The 14,990-nt window shown below is 53.1% G+C and overlaps 1 protein-coding gene across 3 annotated transcripts in view, besides 6 other annotated features; it reads left to right on the top strand.

Annotated features, from left to right (window-relative positions):
• RRBP1 (ribosome binding protein 1) overlaps nucleotides 1-14,990 on the top strand; it is a 68,564-nt gene that overhangs the window by 28,151 nt on the left and 25,423 nt on the right. For all 3 annotated transcript variants that reach the window (NM_004587.3, NM_001042576.2, NM_001365613.2), the window contains 2 exons: nucleotides 10,965-11,113; nucleotides 12,173-12,295. In NM_004587.3, the coding sequence (NP_004578.3) occupies nucleotides 10,965-11,113; nucleotides 12,173-12,295 (272 nt within the window). The remainder of the gene's footprint in view (nucleotides 1-10,964; nucleotides 11,114-12,172; nucleotides 12,296-14,990) is intronic.
• Nucleotides 2,037-2,116: a silencer, noted in NCBI's record as "silent region_12694". NCBI's record gives its function as "represses an Ori minimal core promoter by ATAC-STARR-seq in GM12878 lymphoblastoid cells {active_cell/tissue: GM12878}" and the evidence as "EXISTENCE:reporter gene assay evidence [ECO:0000049][PMID:35858748]".
• Nucleotides 4,728-4,857: a silencer, noted in NCBI's record as "silent region_12693". NCBI's record gives its function as "represses an Ori minimal core promoter by ATAC-STARR-seq in GM12878 lymphoblastoid cells {active_cell/tissue: GM12878}" and the evidence as "EXISTENCE:reporter gene assay evidence [ECO:0000049][PMID:35858748]".
• Nucleotides 5,009-5,712: an enhancer, noted in NCBI's record as "H3K27ac-H3K4me1 hESC enhancer chr20:17629025-17629728 (GRCh37/hg19 assembly coordinates)". NCBI's record gives its function as "activates a minimal SCP1, AML or CMV promoter by ChIP-STARR-seq in primed H9 embryonic stem cells {active_cell/tissue: H9 hESC(primed)}" and the evidence as "EXISTENCE:reporter gene assay evidence [ECO:0000049][PMID:30033119]".
• Nucleotides 5,507-5,596: a silencer, noted in NCBI's record as "silent region_12692". NCBI's record gives its function as "represses an Ori minimal core promoter by ATAC-STARR-seq in GM12878 lymphoblastoid cells {active_cell/tissue: GM12878}" and the evidence as "EXISTENCE:reporter gene assay evidence [ECO:0000049][PMID:35858748]".
• Nucleotides 5,777-5,866: an enhancer, noted in NCBI's record as "active region_17565". NCBI's record gives its function as "activates an Ori minimal core promoter by ATAC-STARR-seq in GM12878 lymphoblastoid cells {active_cell/tissue: GM12878}" and the evidence as "EXISTENCE:reporter gene assay evidence [ECO:0000049][PMID:35858748]".
• Nucleotides 10,068-10,197: a silencer, noted in NCBI's record as "silent region_12691". NCBI's record gives its function as "represses an Ori minimal core promoter by ATAC-STARR-seq in GM12878 lymphoblastoid cells {active_cell/tissue: GM12878}" and the evidence as "EXISTENCE:reporter gene assay evidence [ECO:0000049][PMID:35858748]".

The raw sequence follows: 14,990 nt of genomic DNA, 5'->3' as shown, positions 1-14,990 counted from the left end.
CCCTGTCCTTTTGTTGTGTCCTTTAGTGCAGTGGTCAGACCCTGCATGGCCATTATCAAACCAAAACAGACAAAAATGCGTTTGTGCATTACTGTTTAACTGTGCAGTGTGCTTTTCTCTAGTCTGTGCTGGTGGGTATCTGATATTAATGTCCCCATCAACATTGGTCTTTGGTGGCTGGGGGTTGTGAGGCATGTATGTGTGGCTCTTTCTGTCCACCTTGGGACCAGGAGGCTGTTCTTTTTTTTTTTTTTTTTTGAGATGGAGTCTCGCTCTGTCACCCAGGCTGGCATGTAATGGCACGATCTCGGCTCACTGCAACCTCTGCCTCTTGGGTTTAAGCAATTCTCCTGCCTCAGCCTCCCAAGTAGCTGGGATTACAGGCACCCACCACCACGCCCAGCTGATTTTTGTATTTTTAGTAGAGATGGGGTTTCACCATGTTGGCAGCTGGTCTTGAACTCCTGACCTCAGGTGATCCACCCGCCTTGGCCTCCCAAAGTGCTGGGGTTATAGGCGTGAGCCACCGCGCCTGGCCAGGGCCAGGCTGTTCTTGGCGTGTGATCTGTATGTATTGGTCTCATCTGGACTCCGTCACAGTCTGCTTATTCTTTAGCACACGTATTTTCTGCTCTTTGCAGCTGACGGGCTCCAGGGACATTTCTTGATTCATTTGTGGCTACCATCTTCTTACTAACAGCATGGGTGGGGGGCCCAACCCCTAAGCCACTGCCAGGTGGCGTGTGCAAGAAGGTCTGTCTGCATAGCTCCCAGCTGCTTTGCAGCTCTGACTGTAAAGGACAGAGGCCCTGGGTGGGCTCAGTGAAGTGTGCACCTCTCCTCACAGTTAGTCTGCTTTTCCCACACACAAATAACACGAACACAGGGGAGAGCCCGAGGGCGCGCTGGGCACGGTGGGCATGTAGCTGCATCTGGCAGAATTCCCACCACTGCAGTCAGTTGTCGGTGGCGCTCTCTGGATGCTTGGCCGTTTTGCCTTGCAAAGGCCCTTCTCTGCTCCGGGCACACTTCATCACTTGCAGTGATTTCCCACCTTGTCTCTGTGCCCTCGGATGATTTTCTTGGTTTTCAGTTAGCCATGAGCTGTGGTGCCCGAGGGTATGAGGCAGAAATCTGTGAGTCCACAGCATGGGTTTTCACCAGTGGCTTGTGGAATTGGTTTCACCCTTGCTACGTCTTATATGTGGAGTTTTCATGTTCCAGAATTATTTGGATTTCCACTTAACATTGGCGGCTGTGACCATGTTGCCTGGTGAGCAAGCCCGGATGAGACACGTTAGACCGTGGGTTCCTCCCTTTGTTGGAAAGGCTGCGGCGGCCCCCACTGGCTGCCTTGTGCCTCGTTGCCCCTCTGCTGGGGCTGAGCTTCCTGTCAGTCTGGGGCCTGCCCACTCCAGCTTCTCTGGGGGTCATGTGTGCCCAACCTGAGGCAACTGTAGGCAGAACTCCGGGTGGGCTGACTGGCCCTGGGCATCTAGAAACACAGGGACCTGTGGGTGTGAGTGTGTTGGGTGGGAGGGGTGAGGTGGCATGAGGGCTGTGCTGCGGGGATCTGGGAGGTGCTTGGCAGTGGGTTCTAGATCACCGGTGTGGAGCAGGCCAGGACGGGAACTCCTCCCATGAGTCCAGGAGGCCTTGACTTGGGCAGGGGAGGTGTAGGGCCTAGGGCTGTGCTGTCCCATATGGGAGGCACTGGTCACATGGGAGCATTTAAATTATCACCTAAATCAGTCAGAAGTAAATAAAATTAAAGATTCCATTCCTCAGTCACACTAGCCACATTCCAAGTGCCTACTAGTCACATGTGGCTAGTGGCTCCCTTTACACAGTGCAGAGACAGATCATCTCAGTCAGAGCAGAAAGTTTTGCACAGCAGTGCTCTAAACAGGACCTTCTGAAAGGAGGTGGCCTCTTGGATCACTAGCCGGTCTGTGCAGACCTGTGTTGGTGTTGCACAGAGGCTGTGGCTGGCCCATAGCACAGGACAGATTAGCAGCAAAACCAGTACTGGAGCTGGGCTCCACCAGAGACTTGAAGTGCTTCTTCAGTCTTCCTAGCCCTACCTGTTACCTGGCTGGTCCAGCAGGGCCCCCTGCTGACAGGTGCCCCAGAGGGAGACCTGGCAGGAGTGGTAGGCCCAGGACATGCTTTTGCAGACCCAGGCTGGAGCTCTTCCAGAACTTCTGCTCTGATTTTCCTCCAAGAGCAGATGGGGGCCCTGCAGCGGGTTTTTACCACTTGTCCATGGCTGTATTTGACAGAGAACACCTGCCTTCCTAATCCTTGCCTTTTACAATTTATTATTACATAAATATGTGTTTCCAGCAAACAAAATTCACAGTATGGAGGCATGGAAGGTGAAAATAGAAAGTCTTTTTGCTCCATCCCAATCACCATCCGCTTCCCGGGGGTGGAGGGGCGGGGGGGTAAATTCATTGTGCTCTTCACATGGGCACCCACAAACGGGAGCTGCAGTGCACACTGCTGTCTGCTTAACAGTGTGTTGGTGACATCTTTCCGTATTGCACCTGCGAAACTGCCACATTCAGCTGCATAATATTCCCTAGCATGACTGTATTGTAATTTATTTAAATGACATTTAAGTAGTGTGCAGCTATTTTGCAGCTAAAATTAATGCTGCAATGATGTACATACACTGTTGTGTGTCTCTACAAAATAAAGTCCTAGATAAGTAATTGTCAAGTCAAAAGGTGGGTACGTTTTTAATTTAGGAAGACAGTGCTGCATTGCTTTCCAGAAACGTTTCACAATTTACGATGAGAGGCCCACAAGATTTGTTTTCTGACTCAGCACTCCTCACACGGTGCTGCTGTGCTACTCTGGGAATGATTCTAACTTCAGGAAGTTTGGGGAGCAGGGAGCATTATAAACCCAGACGTGGGATAAGGAGAAAGCCTCTTTCTTTGGAAATGAAAGGCACAAATTCTTTACTAAATATTTGGAGAGGAGGAAATTGATGGGATCCTCGAGAAGTGGAAATTCCCCAGAATGGAAGCTTCCCCGTGTTCCGGGTACTGTCAGCTGACGCACGTGTCCAGGCTTTAGCTGGTTTGTTCTCCGATAGTTAACTGAGCACCTATGCACAGTGTCTATTAGGAAAGTCAAGTTTCTAACACAAGACGTGTGTGTATGCAGTGGTGTTGGTTTTTAAAAAAATCTATTTTTATCCTCAGATTGAGTCTTTGTTTGCAGGATTATGCTGGTTTGCCTCCCACCTGGGCTGCCCTGATCTTGTACTAATCACCATCTGGGTGTTACACTGGCAGGAGAGCTGTCCCACCCAGCACCTGGAATCAAGTCTGGATCCTACAGTGTGGGCGTAGACTGAGGAAGTACATATGTACATTCTGAAGACCCCACAGTTAGCATGAGCTCCAGAACAGTGTACTTTTAACTGGAGCTTGCTTCACTCATTGTTGCTGCTGGTTGGAAACAGGTGTTTCCTCATTACCTCTGCTAGCACGTCACTCAGGGGATGCGGGGATGCAGGGTACTTGTTGCACTCTTGGGGAGTCTGGAGCTCACCCAAGGACCTGTGACCTTTCTGCCTAATGGACGGGGGTGGGTAACCCTGGGGACATGGCACTTCTGTCTTGGCTGTGGGCCTGCTTTCTGCGGGGCCCTCTTTCCCCAGCCTGCTGATGCAAGCCAGTTTTACTCTGTGGCCAGAGAGACCATTGTGTCATGGCCCAGGAGAACCCACCCAACCTCCATGAGGTGGCAAACACTCAGAAACAGGCATTTCAGAGGCCCATTCTTGCCACGTTGTCAGATAAGTCCATGTGGGAAAAAGAGGCCACCTTTGGGAGGTAGGATTATGGGTAAATGTTAGTATCTTCCTTTCACCCTTCTGCATTTTCCAGTTTTTCTATAACTTTTTTTTTTTTATGGAGAAGAAACAACTCCATTATGTGTCTCTAAGTCAAATAAACAGGCCCTCATTATACCAAAGCTGATGGAACTCTCATCCTTCTGGGTGTTTTGAGGCAGCCCTGTGTCCTCTGAGGAGCAGCAAGGAACACGTTGCTCCTTTTGGGGTCTGGAATGAGGAAAGGTAGTGCCAGCTCTTCTGAGGCCTCCAGAAGGAGGCCAGTGCGTGTCCCAGCCCTAGCACACAGGCATCTGGGAGGCATTCATGAACTGAGGTAAGGTGGGAAGTTAAAGGCAGTTCCCACATTCTGGAGCCTGGCAGTGCCGTGGTGGGAGGGGGCCTGTGAGCTCTGTGTCGTGTGCAGTCTCGCTGAGCCCCCATTCTACCCCTACAATAGGAAATGTAACCTAAAATCCCAAGTCGTGTTCTGCAATCTAATGGGGCTGGGGTCACAGGTCAGGGGGTATGGGGAAGAGTTGTCAAGCCCCCAGGAAACGGTATTCAAGGTGTCTAGGGTAGCAGGGCCCTTAAACAATTTGACTTCGTGATGGGAACACCCCTTGCTCCCAGCTCCTCACCCACCCACCCACCCACGCCTGTCCTCCCCATGTGTAGCCTGCTTTGCTCCAAACCCAGCGCTGCTTAGCACAGCAGGTCTGACGCCACTGCTCTCCCCAGCCAGGTGTTTGTTCAGATGTGCAGTTTAGGAGGCTGGTTTCCATGCCTTTATCCCTCGTGCAATTCTCTAAGGTGGATTTGAATTTTTACCTGTTTGACAGAAGCAGAAAGCAAAGCTCAGACTTCCCAGAAGTCATGCACATGACCAGCAGATGGCAGAGCGGCCGGTGTGGGCAGCCCCTCCCGAGGCCCCCGCCCTGCCCGGCAGGTGCCCCTGTGCCCTTCTCGCCGGCAGTTGCACAGAGAGGTGTACACGGAGATCAAGTCAGATACTTTTTCTTTTGAACCTAACTCAGTTTCTCAGGGTCTGAAGCTCTGAAGAAAACTCTCTGGGGCTTATGACCCTTTATTCACTTTCTGTGGAAGTTCTTCAAACCCAACTTTTTCTTTTCTTCTTCTTTTTTTAAAGAAGAACAAAAACATCCCCTAGGGAAGCGAGCCAAGTATCAGTGTGAGAAGCTGCTAGATGACACTCTTCCAGAAATCTCTTTTCAGCCACTTGAAAACGTGTTGAGGCTGGGACTCCGGTCACTGCCCCCAGACGGCTGTGGTCAGACAGCCTGGGATTAAAAATCCCCTGCCGTTTTCTGCAGGCATTAGGTAGAGTCCTAATTGCTGTTTAAACTGTATTCTCCTTGGGCCAGCCTGTGTGCCTTGGGAAGGGCCTTGCCCAGAGGTCCTCCAGGAATTGTCGTTCTTTTAAAAATATTGTGATGTGGGTTTTTTTTAACTCCAGGTATAAAATTGGTTTTGTTGAAATTTGGAGGAAAAAACAAAACTTTAAAGAGGAAAACAGTTCTTCAATCTATAGGATATTTTAAATTCCATTAGATACCATTAAATATACCAGTCCCCAAGTTTGTAGCCGATTACGTTTTTCTCCAACTAAAGGAAAAGGACTGATTGAAAGGCCCTGAATTGGGTTGTTCTTGACATTATTTGTACTGAGCTCCATTGCCCTTAAAGCTGCGGATGTGACCGTTCGTGGCATTTGGGGTCAAGTGCAGCTGCGCCTCCTTGGCCTGCTTCCTGTCAGGAGCGCTGAGCAGCGCTTGGGCAAGGCCGGGCTCTGTGGCCTGAGCTGGGCCTGGAGTCCACTGTTTGTGCACTGCCCAGGGCCTGCCTCAGCTGTGGGCAGATGAGCAATGAGTGAGAGCAGGAGTCGCAGTTTGCCTCCAGGAGCATTTGGTAGATCTTCATTTCCTCCAGGGTCTCATAAAGCTCACTTCCCCCACAGGCTCAGGAGGAGCCTTCACGGCCACAGTCCAAGAACGAGCAGTTAGAGGCCAGCAGTGATGTTGGCCGGAGCTCCTCCCTAGAGAGCGTCTTGCGTCCCACCTCGGGGTGGGACCCTGAAGGGAGCCGGCTCCTCAGGTTGAGAGAGACAGAGATGCCCTTGGCTTTGGGTCAGCAGGAATGGGGAGCTTGTCCTCAGCCTCTGAATCTTGGTCTGCAGAGGCTGATGACTGCTTGCGTGGTGCTGGGCTTCCAGGAGGCATGTGGGAGCCCTTTCCTGGGGCCCCAGGGTCTTCACCTTCTTACAGCAGACCTGAGTTTGGGTCGGGTGACTGGGGACTACAGGGCGTGGAAGGCACGCCAAGATTGCGATCTGGCTTGGGCAGCCATGCTGGGTGCCTTGGTCTGCACTGTCTGGAGTCACCCCGTGCAGGCCCGGAGGCAGCAGCTATTCAGACTACATGTGTGTGTCTGAGGGAGGCACCCTCAGAACTGATCTGGACAATCTCTTAGGAAATGAGAGTTTTTGCCACTGGAGTTCTTCCCCAAGCCCTCAAGTCCATGCTGTTTCAGGTTCCATTGCCAGAGTCCCTGGGTTGACACCTGGGCCTCTCTCCCACCAGCTCAGCTTCCTGAATACTCGGGCCCAGATCCTGGTCCTGGGCTCTTAGGACCCAGCGGGGATAGGCTCTTAGGACCAGGGTCCAGGCCAGCTGGTCTGCCTGCTTCCAGCCGCATCCCCCTGGGCATCCTGAAATCTTTTTCTCAAATTCAAACGCTCCTTCCTAGGCATCGCTTGTTGCCTACAGAATAAAATCCAGATTCCCAGGGCCTATGAAGACTTGGACCTAGTCCAACCTCGGGTGCAAGTCTGACACGCTAGGGCCCAAAGCCCCTCACCGTGTCCTTACCCAGCTATGCTTGGCCCAATGCCTTAAAGCCTTTCTCGGCATTGCTGCCACAATTGTTCTCCAGGTCCCCCTTGTGTCACTCTTCTGCCTTATGGCCCTGTGTCCTCTGCCTCTGTTGGCCACAGCCCAACCTATAACTTAACTTTCCAGGCCCAGCAATTTACGAACTGCTGGGTATGCAGGTGGTACATACTTTGTGTCTAGAGACCACCTGGCCCTGCCTGCCCTGATCAGGGCTGCTGGGCACCTGTAGCAGCAGCTGGAGCTGAGCCGGAGCCTTTTGTGGGGCCCATCCCAGGGCCAAGGCGATAATCCCCTCCTATTAACCACCAGCTGCTGCCAGGGCTCAGGCGGCAGTTCCTGGAGTGGTTCTGATACCCTCCCCGTGGACTGAGAGAGCCAGGTGTGCACAGTGCAGGGGTGCTCCAGCAGCTGATGTGGGGGGCTGGCCGCTGAGTCTCATGAGGCCACTTAGGGCTGAGATCCTCCTTCTATGCCTGAGCCCTGGCCATGGGGGATCCTGGAAATTATACAGAGAGAAAAGCCTCATCCAAGGACGCCACAGTTGACAGTGAGAGAGAACACTAAGTGCCTCTTTGCCAGATGAGTTTAATTTTAGGTGCCTGAGCCTCCCAGTGTGGTCGCAGAAGGGAGAGTCATTTTGAAATTTGGGGTGTGAGGTGCGTTATCTGAGCTGCTGTGAGCTGCTTGAAGGCCGGCCATGCTGATTTATTTTGCTGTGCGTTACCCTGCGCCAGGCATGGTTCCAAGCACGTTGCAACTTACTCTTTTCAGCCACGCTGTGAGGGGAACAATGATCATCCCCGTTTTGTAGGCAAGGAAACAGAAGCAAAGGAAGGTTAAGCCACTTGTCCAAGGACAAAGGTGGGAAGGAGCTGAGCTGGGATTCGACTCCAGGCCACCTGGTCCCAGAGGCCTTGCTCTGACCTTGGTGCCCCACTGCCCAAGGACAGAGGTGACCTGCAGACTGGACGTGGCCCACGGATGTGTTTGTTCATCTGTACAGTGGTTTCATTCATTTATTTGTTTTTTATTGAGTTAGCTGTCAGCAGTAAAGATGAGAAGATAGCACTTAAAAATCTCGTTTCCAGGCTCTTGGGCAGGCCTGTGGCTTTGAGGGTTCTGGCTCAGATTCCCCCATTGCAGCTATCACCTGGAGGTGAAGTGCCGTGCCCAGGACCACCCAGCTCAGGAGAGGCCACCCCCCTGAGCCCAGGCCTGTGTGGTTATTTGTCACAGTACCTGTCCCATTCCTGCAGGGCCTGGCCCCTGGGGTGTTGCTGTGTCCCCTGCCAGACAGAGGTCTGGATTATCCATCAAAGTGAGACACTGGCCTGCGTCTCTACTCTTGGGTCTCCTGCTCCCTGGTCACTCCCCAGGCCTCCTGGCCTGTCCCTTCCTGGTATTTCATACCCACCAAGATGGGCAAAGCGTTAGCCGCAGGAGCAAGCCCTCAGGGAGCTGAGCTTTTCCAGCATTCACTGCACCCTGGGCCTTTTGAAGTCTGTGATTTCACAGACTAGGTGTTGAGTCTGAGAGACTTAGTTTAGTGCGTTAAGATTTCACAATTCGGAAGATTACTGGTATCTTCGAGTATTTGCTGGAGCCCTAAGTGATGTGCTGGGCACGCCTTAGGCTCCCGTTAGTACGTTATTTAAATGCAACTCATCTGGAGGCCCAGAAATCCTGCCTCTGCTTCTGAGGGCTTTCCTTTTTTCTTTCAGTTGTGCTGCCCTTGATTTGGGGACAATTGAGACAGCAGAGTTTTTACCTAAAAGATTTAATGAAAAATGATTTGTAAAGTTATAGCTCTCTAAAAACAGTATAAAAGGTAGTGTTTGTATGAGTGTGGCAAAGGCTGTGGAAGTTTCTGGGGGGCCATGAGAGGTGGCAGAGGAGAGCGTTAACATTTTGCTGTACGCAGCTTTGCGTTTGTTTCGCGTGTTGCAAGTTTTTATTTTTCTGTTAAAATATCTAATAGAATGGAATTACGTTAGAAAGTTTTAATAAAGATTTATGAGAATGCCGCTCCGAGAACACTCTCGGGAGCACTCTGTGGACTGAGCCTGCGGCGGGTGAGCATGTGGCCATGCTGCCCCTGTGCAGGAAGCGGCGTCCTAGAGCGCGTGCCCTCCAGCTGCCTTATCCAGATGTTTCCCCACCCAGCAGTGCAGTAGGGGCCGTGGGGCCTGGAAGGGTGGTCTTTAAGGAGAGAGTTCAAGAGAGGCCAGAGCTCTTGGGTCACTCTGGAACCTCTGTAGGACCAGGGGCTGCCAGGAATTCAGCAGGGGGCACTTTGGGGGTCCCTGGTTCTGGAAAGGAATAGGCCAGCCAGTCCAGGAGAAACAGAATGTGAGCCACACACGTGTGAGCCATGGATGTGATGTAAATGTCCTCAGCCACATTTAAAAAGGCCAGCAAGAAACAAATGGACTGAATGTTAACGATACATTTTGTTTGACCCAGTTTATCCAAAATGTTATTTCAACATACAATCCATATATAAAATTATTACAGATACTTCACATTCTTTTTTTTTCATACCAAATCTTCTAAATTCCACGTGTACTTTCCACTCATAGCACATCTCGAGTCAGGCCAGCCACGTTGCAGGTGCCCAGTAGCCACACATGGCTGGTGCCCAGCACATCGGACGGCGCAGGACGCTTTTCTGAGTCAGGAGGGGGAAATGTCCTTGCAGCCAGCAGCTAGACGCCGGCTGAAGCAGCTGCCCTGCCCAGTCTGTAACTACAGAGGTGTCTTTGAAACAAGTGACCTCTGTCTCCTGGAAAGTGCTGGCAGTAGACACGCACCTGCAGGCTGAGGGGGAAGACAGGAAGGCTGGGAACCGAAATGTGAACTAACACGGGGGTTTCTCCCGAGAGTGAGCCATGCATGTTTTTATTTTCTTTTGGCTTTTGGGTTAGAATTTTCTCTTGTGTGTGCATTAAAATTACTTTATGTACATACACGTATTTCAGTGAAAAGAAGGTTGAAGGGGCATGCTTTTGCCAGGACCTGTTTTCGTGGCACCCATGACCTCTTAGGCCTTTGGTGTCAACATGGTTATTTTTAAACTCCCGAGCCTCACCAGGGTAAGAAGTTATAAAATAAAGGTGCTCATAGCAACCAGCTCGCCCACATCCCACGTTCCCCTCATTAAGGTATCGTGCCAAATGCTTTGACTTGTAATGAAAATATTATGACTAGTAAGTGAAAATATTGTGACAAGCCAGAGAATTGAGGGTTGCTATGGAAACCAGCCCTCTCCTTTGTCCTCCCAAGGTGGGCTCAGCTGAGGGGCTGCTGTAGGCCTGTCTGCTCTCTGATTTGGCTCATTTTTAGTGCTGTCATTCAGCTGTGGAAGAGTCCAGGCACTCAGGCGTGGCATCTTGGTTCACCCTTTCTTGCTTCCGAGGCTGCATTCAAGCCCCAATGAGAACAAAACCATGTGTGTGGGGAGGGGCGTGGGGGGTGTCGGCAGTTTTAGTTTTTCAGAAGTGACGTTTGTTGGCAGATGGCTCCCTGTCCTCCAGGCAGTCACTCATGGACTGGCCAGTGGACAGGCCCTTTCTATAAGAACCCAGCCAGCCTTCCCTCTCCCAAACCCTGTCACTGCCTGGGCTTCATCCAGGGAGCTAGAAATAGGGTTTGCACTGATGTGTGGAAGCAGCCTCTCCTTGCCTTCTGTGCTCCTCCTGTGGCTGCAGGAGTGTGGCTCTGGGTGTCTGTGTGTGGTGGACGGTAAATTCGCTGCCCAGTCAGGTCCCACAAGGCCACGGGGCTCAGTCACAGCCAGTGGGGAGAACCATGGTGAGCCATGCAGGTTGAGAACAGGACCAGTGCATTTGCGAGAAAAAAAAGGAAGGGAGAAAAGCCTATGGAAAAAGTACGCCTTGCTTAATTTTGTTGCAGGCCATCTTGATGGTGGAAAAAAAAAAAGAGGAGCTCTACTTCCACCCCAGGCTGGGACTTCCTATGGGCGAGTTAGGACGGTGCAGGGACCTATCGTTGAGTCAGTTTCTTGGTGTCCTGAAAGAGCAGGAGACACTGGAGCAGACTCGCCATGCTCAGCCTGCTGACCCCAAGCAGTCAGAGAGCTCTTCGTGGCTGTGACCAGAACCTTCTTGGTGTGATGGGCATTGTGGCCACGTGTGTTGTGGCTTATGGGCCTAAGTCTCAGCTCTTTCCCTCTTGCTGCACAGGGCCCCCAGATGCCGACGGCCCTCTCTACCTCCCCTACAAGACGCTGGTCTCCACGGTTGGGAGCATGGTGTTCAACGAGGGCGAGGCCCAGCGGCTCATCGAGATCCTGTCTGAGAAGGCTGGCATCATTCAGGACACCTGGCACAAGGTGGGCCCACCCTCCTGCTGGCCATGCTCAGAGGCCACTGCAGCTGGCTAGGGTGGTTTTGCCCTTCCCTCTGCCACAGAGAGGACATTCATAGGACAGCCTCCACTTCTCTTTCCTGGCAGAATTCTGCCACCCCGAGGGATCGCTCGCAGGTGCTTTGGCTTCTGTCAAGCCACCCATGGCCTGGCTCCTGAGATGGTTAGGGCTGGGGCAGGGCTCTGTATTGGCAGGGTATGGGATCTAGGGAGCTGGGGCCTAGCCAGTTTGTGGCCACAGCTCAGGGTGCAGAAAGAAAGGTATAGGGACACAGTGTGGGGCCCTGTGAGGTTCCCCAGCCCAGGAGCGCCCCTGGTTTCCGTCGTGCTGCCGGGGGCAGGTTCAGAGGCTAAGAGTTCTGAGCTATCTCGTGCCTCTGGCCAAGAGCTGTGCCCAAGAAGTGCTGCGTGGCACATTCCTTCACTGGAGTCAGAGTTCAGGGTAACTGTGCTGGAGGATTTAGTGGTTAGAGATGCTCAGGTGTGCCCTGAGGCCAGTGGGGTCACTCCCTTCCTGGCCATACACATCCTGCACAGTCTCAGTGGCACCGAGAGCTTGTCAGTCGTCACTGGGGGCTCTACTGGGTATGAGTGGCCATAGGAGATTCAGATGACCAGGGAGAGGCCTGGCTCTCCTCAGGTCACTGTCCTCAGAGTACCCGGCCCCCATACTGCAGCCAGAGGCCTACGGGCTGCACGCCCGGCTCGGGTAGGCTCCAGGCCAGAAATGGTGGCCAGCTGCCCCTCAGAGGAGCTGGCAACACCACACTCCTAAATGCCACTCCAGGGATTCAAAGCCTTTGGCCTTGACAGTCCCAACACACGCTGGGTCAGGGGTCCCGGCAGGCTGATGGCTGAGGCGGGGCCGCCTTTCCCCACAAGTATCTGGAGTCCCAGTGGAACCCTTGACTCGAAGCCCCTGCTCCACTTCATCAAGCCCTCAGGCCTCTGCTCTTGTCCGGGGTCAGGGGATGAGCCAAGTCCCATTTGTCCCCTCTGTTAACGCATCTCTGGGTATTTCTAGGCCACTCAGAAGGGTGACCCTGTGGCGATTCTGAAACGCCAGCTGGAAGAGAAGGAAAAACTGCTGGCCACAGAACAGGAAGATGCGGCTGTCGCCAAGAGCAAACTGAGGGAGCTCAACAAGGTACAGCCTGAGTGGGCTCGGAGATGGTTTGTCCTCTCCCGTCCTCAGAGGACCCCCGCCCCATCCACGGTGGATCCCGGGCTCCGAGATGCTGGGGCCTGCCTGGAACGTAGCTGGCTGTCAGGCTGCTGAGTAGGGACTGCTGCTTATCTGCTGCCTAAAGAGCCAAGGGCCGGCAGCTCACCCTTGGCAGTGCTCGTGGCTCTACGGCGTGGTGGCTTCCTTCGTGGCTGTAAGAACGCAGGGAAGTGAAGCAAGGGTTTGGAAGTTAAGCAGCATCAGTTTGTGATGGGGATGGACCAGACCTGGCTTTCACTAGACAGGTCCTGCAGTCACAGGCCAGCTTTCTAGGGGCTGTGCCTGGAAAGGAGGGTGGCCACAGTAGATTCAAGGTTGTTTTCTTGAGGATTATGCAAAACCTTGTGGGGAGGGGACTGGAGGGGCTGCTCTTCTCCCTTTTTCTGATGTCAGAGGAGGGATGTGCAGGGAAACCCTGGCTCCCCGTATCAGCGGATGGCGTGGCACGTAGCATTTGCACTCTGAACAGCAAACGGTGGTGGGTTGGTGCTGCCATAGGACGGGGCTGATGGCACGTTGAGATTGTGTTGGGATCCATGGCATAGGGGCTGTTCTTCCCACTGCAGAATTCACCGGGGTCTTTCCCCACCTCTCTGCTGCTGAGGGTGGGCCCTGGTGCCCCAGCCTTCCTGGAGGAAGGGCAGGGTGAGGGGCCCCCTGGCCCTCTGGGACTGGTCAGGCCCTGTTGAAAGCCGTCTTTGCCCCATGCAGCACCGCAGGCTTGCTCTTGCCCTCTCCCTGCCTCCCTGCCTTCTCCATCCCGGGCAGCGGGCGCAGGGGGAGGGCCTGGATGGTGGACTGTCCAACAGTGTCTGGGCTACAGCCCTTCTTCCGGGTGCCTTTGTCTGCTCGAGCACAAAGAATTGGAAGTAAGGCAGCCTTACTTTTTGTCGCAAATTCAGGGTCACGGCTCTGAGCCAGATGGGAAGTTCACTGGGTGGGGGATGGGCAGGACCAGAAGACACACCTTAGATGGCCGCTCTTCGATGCTGCTCTCCACCCTGCTGGGGTGGTAGAATATCTCCCTGGCTGCATGCTCAGGGCAGCCTGTGGTCCTCATTCAGTACCCAGCCTCCTCGGAGACCACTGGCCTTGCCTCTTAGGTGAGGAGAAGGTTAACGGTGCGTGGCCTCCCTTCCACCCACACTCTGCTCCCTAAGCCGGAAGAGGTCCTGTTGGGCTCCCAAATGCTGATCTGTGAGGACCCCCATCAAGCTCTGCCAGGGGCCCCTAATCTTCAGACCTAAGTCTGCCCCCCAGGCCCCAGCTCAGCCACTCACCCTGCCTCTGGCCTCACCTCTTCCCTTTCCCTACCTGTGCTCAGACATTCTGTGCCCTTTCGTGACTCCTCTGGGGCTCTCCTCTTGCTCTTCCCTTGGCCTCTAATGCCCTTCCGTGCTTGGATGTCTGGACATTGTCTTCTTACTCTGGAAGACTCAATTTGGTTTCCCTCCCTCAGGAGCCTTCTGGAGCTCCCATGTTCCTGTTCTGCACAGAGGTCATTGGTACAGTTAGGCATCACCTGGCTGCATCTGGCTCCTGTCAGACCTCAAGCCTGGTGGCGCAGACCCACTCTGGTGGTCTCACCAGGCTCAGCCTAGCAGGCCGCCAGTGATCAAGTGGCCACTGAGAGGGCCAGGCCACCTCGCAGCTGAGGGGAAGCCTGGAAGCATTTCTGAGTATTTTACATTGTCTTCTTGTAAATAGTTAAATGTTTGTAGTCGATGCCTTTGGCCGTTTCTCTTCCCTGTGCTCGTGCTCTCTGTTGAGAGTCCTGAGCAGAGCCGATGTGTTTACCTTATTCTTTTTTTTTTTTTTTTTTTTGAGACTGGAGTTTCACTGTTATTGCCCAGGCTGGAGTGCAATGGCACGATCTTGGCTCACTGCAACCTCCGCCTCCCGGGTTCAAGCGATTCTCCTGTCTCAGCCTCCCAAGTAGCTGGAATTACAGGCAAGCGCCACCATACCCGGCTAATTGTGTATTTTTAGTAGAGACGGGGTTTCTCCATGTTGGTCGGGCTGGTCTCGAACTCCCGACCTCAGGTGATCCGCCCACCTCGGCCTCCCAAAGTGCTGGGATTGCAGCTGCGAGCCACCGTCCCTGGCCTGTTTACCTCATTCTTACGGTAACACTGCAACTGCCCAGCACTGCTGAGGGAAATGTTGTGAGACAGTAAATTCCAGAGAGTGTGGCAGTTCCTCTTACCTTAATCCCCCTCGGGAGCTGGGGAGATGGATGGAACCTATGTTTCTTGTTCTAGTCCCTTCGACATGTTTTCTTTGTCCTTGTAGAGAAGTTTTTATAGTTGAAAAGGGTTTTCATTAATTCTGTTTCTTGGGGTCTGATGCTGAAGGCATGATCTGGACACACTGAGAAAGAAAATTTGGATCATCTGCTGTATCCAGGTCTCCCAAATGTGCGAAGTCCCAGCAGAGTTGGGTTCAAGGACCAGTCCACACACTGTCTGCAGGAGTTGATGGGCTCAGACGCCCTTGAGAACTCTGTCCTGGCTGTCTGAGAATCTCTTGGGGGTTTGAGGAGTCCAGGCAGAGCTCCAGTGATGTAACCAAGAAGGCACAACCTTCTGGAAAAACATTCCAGCTGTCATGTTCCTGG

This window comes from Homo sapiens, chromosome 20 (assembly GCF_000001405.40).
Source record: "Homo sapiens chromosome 20, GRCh38.p14 Primary Assembly".
NCBI lineage: Eukaryota > Metazoa > Chordata > Mammalia > Primates > Hominidae > Homo > Homo sapiens.
This window is presented reverse-complemented; position numbering and strand designations above follow the sequence as displayed.